The 12,556-nt window shown below is 58.3% G+C and overlaps 1 pseudogene across 1 annotated transcript, besides 2 other annotated features; it reads right to left on the bottom strand.

Moving 5' to 3' along the window:
- Nucleotides 476-665: an enhancer, noted in NCBI's record as "active region_9845". NCBI's record gives its function as "activates an Ori minimal core promoter by ATAC-STARR-seq in GM12878 lymphoblastoid cells {active_cell/tissue: GM12878}" and the evidence as "EXISTENCE:reporter gene assay evidence [ECO:0000049][PMID:35858748]".
- Nucleotides 746-805: an enhancer, noted in NCBI's record as "active region_9846". NCBI's record gives its function as "activates an Ori minimal core promoter by ATAC-STARR-seq in GM12878 lymphoblastoid cells {active_cell/tissue: GM12878}" and the evidence as "EXISTENCE:reporter gene assay evidence [ECO:0000049][PMID:35858748]".
- TRCG1P (taste receptor cell gene 1, pseudogene) lies at nt 7,725-10,662 on the bottom strand (annotated as a pseudogene). The gene is made up of 5 exons (NR_171056.1): nt 10,510-10,662; nt 10,207-10,337; nt 9,822-9,886; nt 9,385-9,524; nt 7,725-7,955 (listed from the first exon to the last, which is right to left on the bottom strand). The product of NR_171056.1 is annotated as a taste receptor cell gene 1, pseudogene (transcript).
- Between the last annotated feature and the right edge of the window lie 1,894 nt (nt 10,663-12,556).

Raw genomic sequence — 12,556 nt, forward strand, 5'->3', positions numbered from 1 at the left:
TCATACCTCCTGTGCACCATGGCAGCCAAAATGCACCAGCATGACCAGGAGTGCTGGCTTGTCCCTGTAATCCCAGTGTTTTTGGGAGGCTGAGGTGGAAAGATCACTTGAGACCAGCCTAGGCAACATAGCCAGACCCTGTCTCTACAAAAAATAAAATTAGGCATGGTGGCGTGTGCCTGTAGTCCCAGTATAGCAGGACAAGCCGCAGACAAAACTTCGTAGACACCGAGTTGTAGAAGAAGGGCTTTATTCAGCTGGGAGCATCGGCAAGCTACTGCCTTAAAATCCGAGCTGAGTGCACAATTTTTGTCCCTTTTAAGGCCTCACAACACTAAAGATTTCACATGAAAGGGTCGTGATTGATTTGAGCAAGCAAGGGGTACGTGACAGGGGCTGTATGCACCGGTGGTCAGAGTGAAACAGAACAGAGCAGGGAGTTTCACAATGTTCTTCCATACAATGCCTGAAATCTATGGGTAACATCGGGTTCTAAGTCATGAGTTGATTTTTAACTACTAGGTTTAGGCCAGGCAGGCCCAGGCCTGGCTTTGGGCCTGGCGCTGGGCTGCCTGTCTTTGATTTCACTTCCTTGTTTTTTTCTTAAAACAGGTACTGAGTATAAAACAATATGAGAGAGCCTCTCTCTTCCCTCACCAGCTACTCAGGAGGCTGAGGTGGGAAGATTGCATGAACCCAGGAGGTCAGGGCTGCAGTGAGCTATGATTGTGCCACCACATTCCAGCCTGGGCAACAGAGCAAGACCCTGTCTCTAAAACAAGAAACAAAGTGCACCAGTGTGTGGATTCCAGCTTCTCCTGGTGTGTGGACATGACCTCACTCGGCCCCATCAGTGAGTGGGAGGCTGCCTGCTGTCTTCCAGAACGTTCTCATCACTACACCTGTGTTCCTCCTGCATTCTCTGGCAGGCTTTGTGAGGGGACCTGTCACCTACCTCTCTGGCTGCCCTAAGGCCCAGCTCAAACCTTCCCTGCCCCTGAGAACCTTTTCCTGAAGAGTCTTTTCCCCACTGGCAGGCCTTCTTATTTCAGAGCTTTTGGTAGGGTGAGTAAAAGGATCGACTCTCTGCTACCAGCCTGGGAGGAATTGTCCCTAGGGTTGGGTCTCTGGATGGCATATGAGGGTCTAGACCAGGACCCAGATGACTGTAACCTGAAGGGCAGGACCTCAGCTGCCCCAGCTTGACACAGCCCCTTGTCCAGCCTGACCTTCTGGGACAGGCCCGACCCCTGCATCCTTTGGTCTTGGTCCCTACTGGGAACTCTGGTTACCCTGGCTTACCTACTTTGACTCCAAAGGCAATGCTGACATCCCCCGTGAGACACAGTGACAGACTGAGACTAACGTAGGGTTACCTGGCTCAGAGTCACCATGGCCAGGCAGAGGTCAGGTCCTGGCCTGGTTCAAGATCTTCCCCAATGCCCTTCTAGCTCTGGTGCCCTGCAGGGTCTACCTTGGAGCACCTGGAGCCCGAGAAGCTGCCCCTCACCTTTGAGATCCCAGGGACCCCCTCCCTGATCATGATGAAGGCGGAACCAAACCCGCTGAGGTGCCTGAAGGAGGAAGGGTCAGCCTCTGCCTCCCACGGCCTCTCTGATGGGGAGGATGTTATCGCAGCAGCGTGAGCTGGGAGCGGAATCGGGAGGATAGGGGTTTTCTCTATGGGTAGCTCTGGGCTCCAGGGTGGAGCCCTTTTAACCTGGCCCCTCCCCTGTGACTCTCCTTGGCCCCAAGCAAAGAAAGCAGCTTGCCCGAGGTCACCTGACAGGTAGGAACAGAGTGGGACCTGGGTTCTTTCTCACCCAGCTGCAGCTCCCCCGGCTTGCCCCACAGCCCCTTCCACCAGGTGACACAGAACCTGGCAGGCTGTGCCCCATAGAAGAGTTCACTTTCCTTCTGGTGAGGGATGGGAACCACCTTGGGGCGGGAGGGATGAGGGGTCTGGGGGCTCTCCCAGCCCTGCCTCACATTTGAAGGATGGCATCTGGGTGGCAGCATGGTTTAGGCTACACAGGGCGGCCCCGAGGTTTATAGCCTGGCCTCGGGCGGATGCTGCCATGCCACCTTCTCTTTTGCACATCCTGACCTGGCACCCTACCTAGTTAAAGGTCCTCAGGTCTCCTGGGCATTGCCCCCACTCCCTGCCCAGACACAGCTGTCCTTGTCCTGGACTAATCTTCAGAGATTCTTGTCCAGCCCACAGCTTTGCTGGACATCGCAGGCTGGGCCAGGTCCCCTGCCCAGCACTAACATCTCTTTGTGAGTCTCAACCAGACTGAGCTGTAGCGTCAGGGTCAGGGTAGGCTCTGACTTAATTGATGGTGTCAATAAACCCCCAGGACAGGGGGGTTTATTGATGGTGTCACATCTGCTTACATTCTTGGCCTCTATGGTCTCTTTGGGGCATGATACCCCTCTGTCCCATGCTTAGGTGCCCACATGTGGCCACAAGTGCCTTTCCTACCACTATCCCTACTTGAGGCCGGTGTCCAGGAACCTGTGGCTCCAGGCAGAAGGCTGAGCGCAGAGCCAGGCCTGGGCAGACATTCCGCAGGGGCTGCAGGAGCTGACAGCCCTGACCACCCAGCCCGTGGCCATCCATTCCCCTTCACCGTGGCTGGCCCCTCATCCACCATCCTTCCAGGGGCCAGGCCTGGGCCCAAACTGACTTTTGCCTGCCCCAGTCCCCCTCGTGTTCTTGGCTGAGTGTGATGGTCTTGCCCGTTTCCTTGATTATCCTCAATCAGAGGTTTATAGAGCCACTTGGGGACATCACATCTATCTACCAGGTCCTCACCAGAGACATGACTGCCTTGGGCCGGGCCTGGGATAGTCAGGGGTCAGACTCACCTGTTGGGACCTGGCTTCAGCGGCTTCAATGTGGGCAATGGCCTGATGGGCGGCTGCCCCTTCTCCTCTGCTTGGGGGAGGTAGGAGAGGAAGGTCAGGCAGGAGATCTGCTTCCGGCCCACCTGACGCTGGTTGGAAGCAGGGCGCCCACCTGTGCCTGTCTCACCTCGCTGCAGGTGCATCGGAGGCTGAACCGCTCTCCTGATCTCCTGCAGGTGCAGATTCCACATTTCCAGTGGGTGTCGGGGTGGGCTCCAGAGCTCTCCTGGCCCTAGGGAACCCTGGGCTCCATGAGGCCTTGGCCTAGCCAGATTGTTTCCCACACTGTCACCTCCCCATACCGTCACCTCCTCAAACATGGGGCTGCATGCTCTGTGCCCTGGGTGGGACATTGGAAGGAGTTCCACCTTCCAGGTTTGGATCACAGTAAAGCCTCTGCCATGGGGATGTGCTGGCTGAGACAGATGGGGTTGAACCAGCCCTGTCACTTTGGCCTTGGGCAAGTCACCTGTGCCTTGCTTCCCTTTCCCCAGCAGCCAGACGGGGATAATAGCACCCATTTCACCCGTACTCAGGTGCTCACTTGTTAGCGGGAACTGAGTCCCAGAGGAGGTGCAGGCAGAGCCATCGAGAAAGCACTGCAGCTGGACCTGGGTCTGAGTCGCAGTTCCTGGCTGTGAGATGCGTCTCTCCCTCTGTTTATTCATCTGAAGGACAGGGCTGTGCTGTTCTGGGGTCACTGTGACAATTCAGCTGGCCTGTGTGAGTTGGTGGTGGCTTCCTGAGATGGTTTGAGGTGGGCTGGAGGTGTGTCTTGAATGCCCCCTCGCCTCCATGGGGAAGACCCACTTAGGGAAGACTCGTGGCTGTATGGAGGAACCCACGTTCCCTGCCCCCCAGCTGTCCTCTGTCCTTTCCCAGCCCCCTCTGCTGTCCTGCAGTTTCTGGCAGTGGCCATCCAGCTTGTTGGTCATCTGGCTGGTCCACTCTTCCAGGTGGACCCTCTCTCCTCATGTGGTGCAGGTCCCATTGCACCACCACCAGACAGGCCATGCTAGCCCCAGGGCCCCCTTTCCCTGTTACCCAGCCCCCACCCCCAGCTATGTGCCCCCTCCCTAAAGCCCACTGTGTCCACCAGCTGTGTTTGAACTGTCTGTGTGCAAGACCTCATGCAAAGCCTGAAACAGCCTGGCTTGTAGAGGGCCAGGAGACCAAAGCTTGAAGAGAGAGTGACGGTCTCCCAGAGCCCACTTAGCCTCAGCCCCAGGGCTGTGTCCATGCTGGTCCTGGCTCCATTGAGCCAATTCTCTCCCATGACGCCTGTAAGGGCTCCAGTGGTGATGGAGGTAGCTGGAGAGAACAAGGCTGCCATAACCCTCCCTCCCTGAGAAGGCCCAATGGGGAACGTTTTAGGCATCAGGGCATTCTGGGGGCATCTTCCAGGGACCCCTCCTACACCCTGCCCTGCCCTGGCTCTCTAGTGAGAAATTGCAGTTGCTTGGACAGTGGGGCTGACCCAGGACAAATGCATATATTGGGCTGGTCTTTGGGGTGCTGGGGTGGGGGCATGGGCGCTTCAGGGATAGGAAGGAGAGGCCTGTGTATTCCAGAAGTACAGAGGAACCTGGTGCCGGCCACAGTCAATCCCGATGTGATGATCTTTCTACCCGCCCTCTTTGATGTCTTGGTGCTGGCTGCTGTCTTTGGCCACATAAGCTCATGGTCTGGGTTCCTGGGGTCCCCTCGCTGGGCCTCCACACTGCCTGCAGGTAGAGGAGCCTTCAGGCCAGGACTATCCTTGGCTCCCCTTTCCAGGTCATGGGTTCAAAGACCATTCCTGGGTTCCACCACCGCCAAGCCTCAATGGTGTCCTGATGGGCACGGGAGCTGCTGGGGCGTTCTGGGTTAAGACCCTTGCCTATCCCAGTGTTCCCCCCTGCAGTGGGGCTGCAGGGGTTGGCCTCAGTCTCTGCCCTGGGAGCCTGCCTCACCTTGGCCTGGCGGCCCCACACCTGCCCTGGAAGACCCCCCCACACTCAGTGGCTCTGATTCACTGTAGAGCAGCCAGGGCCCCCGTTGCTCACACCCTCTGGCCTGAGGCTGACTGGCTCTGTGGCTGGGTTTGGGGGTCAGGGAGGGGGGTGGGCCTTGCCCTCAGCAGCCCCCATTCCCACTCCGACCCCTTTTCAGTCTTCCTCCTCTTGTGGGCTCTACCCTGGGGCGCCCCCAGCTCCTCACACCATATGACCGTCTAAGTATCTAGAAATCAGTTTTTTAAATACCAACTTTGGATTGCTTCCTGACTTTTCCATACCCCCAAAGGGCCAGTGTTTGTCTTAGGACTGACAGTCCCTCCAGCTCTACTGGGCCAGACCAGGCGGGCGTAAGGGTGCCCCTGCCCCAGCCCTCTTTGGGGCGGGCTTCTGTCCCCTTCCTGCTGCCTCTGCAGCTGAGTTCCTGCCCCAGGGAGAGAAACTTAACCCAGCTCTGTGGGGATGAAGGTGCCCTGCAAAGCGCCACGGGAGGGCTGCCAGGCTGCCGTGTTCTGCTGTCTGAGGCCCGCCATGCTGGGCCACGCCCAGAGCCGGCCTGAGTGCCCCCACCTCAGTGGGCTTTGTGATGTGTATGTACAGGATCACACCTTGCCCTTTCCTCCGGTCTGACCCTTCCCTATCTCCCCGCCTCAACCCCATGTCCTGTGTGTGAGCACCCAGCTCACTCTCGTTCCTCCCTCTCCAAAGTGTGGTCCCTGGCAGCACGAGTGGCAAGAGGGTCAGCAGAGACTGCGGACACCTGAGCTGTGCCTAAGTCCTCTGTGTGGTCTAGCTGTGTGTGCTGGGGGAGGCTCTTGGCCACCATTTCCCCCTCTGTAAATGAGACCGATACCTGTGGCATGGAGGGCGGGAGGCTGGTGTGAGTGCCAAGCACTTGGAGCAGGGCCCTGAGTGAGCATGGACGTGGGAGCAGGGGTGTTTCTCAACTTTGTGCACCTTGGGGATGGGAGTGGGGCTCCCCGCGTGGGTTGACAAGGCATTGCTTTCCCCCACCCCACCTCTGTCCCAGCCCTGCAAGTCCAATCCTTGGGGGTTTTGGAGGGAAGAAGCCCTGGCTGTGTGTCCTCGAGCTGGTCCTTGGCCCTCTCTGGCTCTGAGTTCTGGGGAAAGTCAGTGGTGCTGGAACTCCGGATTCATTCCTCAGGGTTGAGGCACCGTCTGTGGAAGCCATGGGGCAAGGTGAAGGCAGGGAGAGGAGAGGTTTGGAGTTTGGGTTTCAGCAGAGGGAGCAGCAGCATGAGGGGTCACCTGTGTGTAGAGGAAAGGGAGTGAAGGCCAGGAGTGGGGAATGAGTCTGAGTGCACCCAGGACGGTGCTGCGCCTCCTCCCACATCCACTTGGCCCCGGGGGAGGGAGAAGAAAGGCCATAAGACAAAGGGGAAGCTGAGTTGGGTCCACACATGTCCTTCCAGGACCTGGAGGTGCCACTGTCTGGCCCTCATGCAGTGGGAAGTGGGGGAAGGAAGATTCCCTCCCCACACCTCCTGTTCTCTGTCCCAGGTCTCCTGGCCTCCTGTGCTCCTAAGTTCAGTCTCTGTCGGCCCCCAACATCATTTCTAGTGTTGGTGGGAGGGAGCTGGGAACAGGCGAGGGGTAGGTGGGGCCTGCTTGGGGGAGTCTGCCTGACTGCCTGGGCCACTGCCCACAGTACTGGGGAGCTTTTCTGGCACACCAACTGCACCCCCCAGGCACTGCCAATGACAGCCCCCGGGGAGTGTTTGCAGAAGGCCTTGGCAGGAGGCGCGGTGGACCCCACCCAGAACAAACAATTGGGGTGGGGTCAGGGAGAACCGCCCTCCACTTACCTGTCTGGAGAGGGTCCTCTGTACCACACTGTGTGCTTCTACACACCCAGGCTGAACACCCCATGGGAGGCCCTCCACTTTAGCACCTTGACAAGAAGGGTGGGGACACTGGGATCAGGCCCAGCCCCCTGGCCCCAAACCGTGCAACCCCAGCTGGAGGATGAGGAGATGCTGGGCTTGGGTGGGGGAATCAGGGGTGTAAAGGGGCCTGCTCACCCCTCAGCTTGGCTTAAAGGCTCAAGAGGTCAAAGGCTTAGGCTGCCCCTCAGGAAGGCGCCCGGGCCCAGCCAGACACTCACCAGGACAAGGGCCAGTGTGACGAGCAGGAGGCCCAGGATGAGGAGAGCCACGGCATAGCAAGGGATGGAGGCGTCCAGCGGACTGGAGACTTCAGGGCTGGGGGTGCCTGGAGCAGAGCAAGAAGGCCATGGCCAGGCGGGGCCCTGCCTCCCAGACTTCTGAGAAGGCAGAATCTGGGCTCAGAAGGTGCTGCGGGACCAGGGAGCTGGGGCTAGGAGCACCTTGGAGGGCTCCATGAGGAGGGGAGGCAGGCTTCAGATCAGGGCATGTGGAGGCAGCGAGCCCAAGGGAGGAGGCAGATGGACAGAGGGAGGGGGCCTGCAGAGGGAAGGAGGTACTGACCGAGGTCTGGGATGACCATCTCCACCAAGAGGCCCTCTGCCTTCCCCAGGGTGTGCAGACCCTGGCGCAAACGGTCCCACATGAGAGCCTGGGCTGGCGCCGCCCTGAAGAAGGTGGCACCCATTCTGGCAGTCAGTGGCTCCGGCCTGGTGGGAGGATCATCACAGACTTCAGGGGGCTGGGCAGCCTTGGGGGACTAGGGGAGGTCATCTCTTCCAGCCTCCTGCCCTCAACCCCAGAACCCAGGTCTGAGCCCTGGGTCACCCAGGGCCACCCTGAACCCACGGGAATTCCTCCACCACCACTTGGTCAAAGTTCTGCAGAGGTCTGAGGATGAAGTTCAGCTGGGGGGTCAGGAGAGGATGAAGAGGGTCACAGCTCTACCAAAGTCTTGTCCAGTCATCCCCCATCTTCCCGAGGCCTCTTCCTCGACCCCCCACTTCATCCCGCCACTTCACCCATCTCGTCAGCTGCCCTTGAAGTGCCCAGAACTCAGGGCTGGTTTTGTCCTCCAAAGCCTTGGTGTAGGGCTGGACCAGGATCTGCAGCCAAACTTCATACAGCACCAGCTCTGCCTTCTCCCCTAGAGTGATGGGGGTGGAGGTGGCATCAGCCTGCATCCCCTCTCCTGGAAGCCCTGGAGTGGGACACACACCCAAGCTCTTATGCTCCATCCAGGGGTCAGCTGCCACTGGTCTAAAAACCAAATTTCTTGCTGCCTGTTTTTGTGTGGCCCATGAATTAAGAATGGCTTTTACATGTTTAAATGGTTGAAAACATGGAAAGTAGAATCGTATCTTGTGACACATGAGAAGTACGTGAGATGCAAACTTCCATGTCCATAAAGAAAGGTTTCCGGGAACGTGGCCACGCTCATTTGTTGACATGTTGCCTAGGGCTGCTTTCTTGCTAAGAGGAGGGTTTGAGTAGGTGGTGACAGAGACCCAGTGGCCTGCAGAGCCTTAAAGAGTTCCCATCGGGCCCTTTACAGAAAATGCTTGCTAACCCCTGTACTAATCCATCTAATGGAATACACTGCCCACTCCGTGAGTTGATCCTAGTAGGAAATGTTGCTGATAATTTAACAGCTGCTGCTTTTATGTTTTATTTTGTCCCTGATCCGGTGGGAGACACGTAAGAAAATTCACTCCCTGGGTGGAGGTCATGGTGGGGCTTGTGGCCATCAATGGTGAAGCCTCTTTAAGAGGACACATGGGGAGCTCTACCATCTGTTGAGAGGGTTGTGAGGGGCCCTCTGTGTTGAGGAATGAAGAGGGAACGCTGCCTGTGTGCTGGGAGCTGGCTTTCTGGGGAGCAGAAGAGATGGTGGTTCGGGCCTGCGGAGGCAGAGGCCCAAACCAATCTGGTCTCTGGGGCTGCCGGCAGGGAGAGTAGTTGTGTAGGAGTGAGTGCAGGGGCAAAGCCCGAAGGAGGGCACCCCTGAACGCACCCCCGACCGCACCCCCAGGAGGCTGTGGTGGTGGGGGTGGGGCAGCACTGTAGGAGGACCAGCACCTTCTGTGGCTGAGGGGTCCTCGGAGAGCAGCTCTGGGCTGTGCGTAGCTGGAGGGGACTGATTTGACCCAGCGCTCTCCTAACTTGGGTGTGGAACAGCTCTCCCTGTTTGAATGGCAACAAGCTTGCAGAAGTCATCCTGCAGGAGGCCCCAAGAGGAGATATGGGCTTCTTGCAGCCCCTGCACTGGGGCAGAGCTGAGGGCTTTTGCCCCTGACTTGGTGGGACAGATCTTGTCATGCATGTGAGGACTCAGTGAGGTCCTGGGCAATCAGGGAGGTGACGGGACCCTCTCATCCTTCTGATCTTGACTGCTTCTCGCCTCTGTCCAGCTCCTTGCTAAAGCTCTATGCCCCATTCCTCTCTGTGGCCCCAACACATGAGCAAGTGTTGTCTGAAGGAAATTCTGCCCATTCTCTAGAAGGGGAACACCAAGGTTTAGAGAGGGAAAGAGCCTGCTGGCCCAGAGACACACAGGGATTGCAGCCCCGACTCACCATTGGCCACGATGCTGGATTTCTGGAGGATGGGATCTGTTATGTTTTGGGCCAAGTGATTAGCCAGGCCTTGGAGGTGGGTAGTGATGGGAGTCTGGAACTTGTATTCGATATAAACACCCACCCACTGGTCCGCATTGCTAGAGAAGCACAAGGGGAGAGTGCAGAGGTCACAAGCTCTTTGCCAGCACGTTTCTAGAGCAGGTAGAGTCCCCCAAAATGCACACCCTCTGGCGTGGGGGCCCCCTACCTTCTAGGCAGAGCTAGCTTACACAGCCAAGCTACAGCTACCTGGGGCAAAGTCCTTTCCCAGCTAGCCCCAAACCTACACCCCCACATCCTGGTTCTGGGTCACAGAGCTGCCTCCCTCTGTCCCAGGGCAGCCCCCAAGAGAGCAGCAGGGCAGGCTGAGTGGATGGGAGGGGGACTCGACCCACCTGAAGAGGAGCAGGGGCCTCTCCTGGGGACTCGCCTTGTAGAATCCTGACACCACCGGTGTGACCTGTGGGAAACCCTGGAGGTCAGGGCGGGCCTGGGAGCTGTATCTCCTGAGACCCAGTGTGGGATGGGGACCAGGTGAGGTGGGAGGCAGGACCTGGGAGGGAGCGCACCCTTAAACACGGCGTCCTGGGTAGGAGTGTCTGCTTACAGAGCCTGGCTGTGTTCCCATTCGGACAGTCACCTCCTCCTTCAGAGAACCCTCTCCCCCAGGGTGCCCTCTATGACTGCCTTCCGCCATAGTGCCATGGCTGGGTGCTGCCTCCATGCTGGGAGGCCTGCTTCAAGGGAGGTATAGTGAGTGTCCTCACTATGCCACCTCACCTGTTGGAGGATCTGCCTTTCCAGCAGGACAAAGGAAACAGAACCCGGTACGAGGAGCTGCGGCAGGAAGGACCTCATGGCTGTGAAGCGGATGCTGATGGTCTCCCGGGCCAGGGTGATCAAGTCGGCCCCTGTAGAGCCATGGGTGAGAGTTCCGGAGGCGCCAAGACCCTCCTTGCCCACCGCACCACCAGGTGCTTCGGGGTCAGGGCAGAAGTTGGATCCCTCCAGGAAGTCCACCCAGTGCTCCCCCTGGGGAGGTGAAAAGGCACTGCGGTAGGGGCGGCTGGGGATGGGACTCACCATCAGAGGTGAGGCTGTTCTCAGCCAATGAGAGGTTCCCCAGCATGTGCCCTGAGGTCTTCACTTTGCGATACAAAGCCCAGAGGAGTTCACAGGGAGAGGGGCCTGGGGCACGGCCCCCAAATACAAGGGAGGCGTTCACCGCTACAGAGCCAGGCCTGTGGGGGCAGAGCCACGTCCTCAGCCAGGGCCAGTGGGGGCATGAGGGGTCCTGTGCACCCGGTGGGGGCCAGGCTGGTGCACGAGTTGGCATCCCAAGGGAGGGAAGTCCACAGGGGAAGTCATGGGTCACGCAGAGAAGAGCCTCCCTGTGTAACTCAAGGCAAGTCACCTCACCCGTCTGGGCCTTGGCTGCCTCCTCAGTAAAAGGGAGATAATGATCCCTTTCCCAGAGGATTGCTGTGAGGCCTGAATGACTCAGCCACCAGCATCCAAAGCAGGCACTCAGTGAAACTGAGTTCCCTTGGACACCCCAACAAGCCGGCTGTCATGGGAATACCATGAATCCCACCCAGGGAGCTCCCAGGGCAGGGTTACTCAGCCAGGCTGCAGCTGGCTGTGAGCTCTCAGGGTGATAATCTGGGTCACACTGAGAAAAACATCTTTGGCTGCATCACAAGGAGCAGGGGCTCTGGAGAGAGGGAGATGACAGGCCTGAAGAATCTCTGAAAGCCAGTGGGAGATGGACCAATTGCCCATGGCCTGAGGAGGTACCCTGGCCTCAGTAAGGCACTGAAGGAGCTTTCGGGGAGAGACCAGGAAACAAATAAGAATCCAGAATAACTTTTGTCCTTCCCCTGAGCACTTGCGTGCTGTGCATCTTGGGGGTGGGGAGAGAAAACTTCTCTTCAGGCCCAGGGCAGGGAAGTCATAGAAGGCTTCCATTTATTAAAAGGGAAAACTGTCTGAGCAGCTCAGGAGCATGGCCTGGAGAGAGAGTGAGCTTCCTGTCACTGGGAGCATTTGAGCCTTTAAATTACTTACAGGATTCAAAGCCCACAGTGAGCTCACAACTCAAGTGGGGCTGCAGTGATTTGGACCTTCTCAGCCTTTCTCATGACATGGCAGGGCTGCTCTCCGCTGGCAAATATGGTCTCGGTCTCCCTCAACATCCTCTTCCCCCAGACGCTTAGAGTGGAGGGCCCTGCCCAAGGGATTTGCATCCCTTTGCATGTCATTTACAAGCCTGCTGCCCTTGCTGCCTCTGCCTTCCCCACTGCACTCAGACAATGCCTGATGTTCCTGCCCACATCCTGCAGCTGGAATCAGGGCTCAGGGCAGGCCAAAGGGCATATGAGGTCACACAGCATAGCCAGTGGCAGAATCAGACGTGGGCCTCCTCCCTGCCTGTCCAGGGCTCTTCCTGCCTCTGTCCCCAGGTGCTCCTGAACAGGGGGTGGGACGGGCAGAGCTAGGCATCTGGGACAGTGCCTTTGTGGCTGAGAAGGGTCAGAGCAGCTGGTGGGTGATGGGTGGGCCCTGAGAGCCACGTGCACTCACCTGAAGACCAGGACACCGATGCCCTGGAAGCCGGGGAAGGCCTCGTGGTAGAGGGGCTGGAGCTGAGGATGGGCAGAGGCATGGAAGGCCGGCACGTGCCACCCCCCACCTTCCCTCCTGCCCTAACCCACCCCCTCTCTGACCCTACCACCTACCCTCGTCCACCCTCCATCATCTTGGCATGGTCCCTGCAATGGTCCCTCACGGACCACCTGGGATTCCCAGGCCCCGCCCAAGCTGTTCCTCACACAGTGGCCAGAGATAACCTGCCAGTCATCCTCTGCTGAAAGCCTCAAGGTCTGTCTGGGCGTCGTGGCTCATGCCTGTAATCCCAACACTTTGGGAGGCTGAGGCGGGAGGATCGCTTGAGCCCAGGAGTTCAAGACCAGCCTGGGCAGCATGACGAAATCCCTTCTCTACCAAAAATACCAAAATTAGCCCGGCATGGTAGTGTGTGCCTGTAGTCCCAGCTACTCGGGAAGCTGAGGTGGGAGGATGGTTTGAGCCCAGGAGGCAGAGGCTGCAGCAAACACCCAGCCTTCCTAGG

Source organism: Homo sapiens, chromosome 15 (assembly GCF_000001405.40).
Source record: "Homo sapiens chromosome 15, GRCh38.p14 Primary Assembly".
Lineage (NCBI taxonomy): Eukaryota > Metazoa > Chordata > Mammalia > Primates > Hominidae > Homo > Homo sapiens.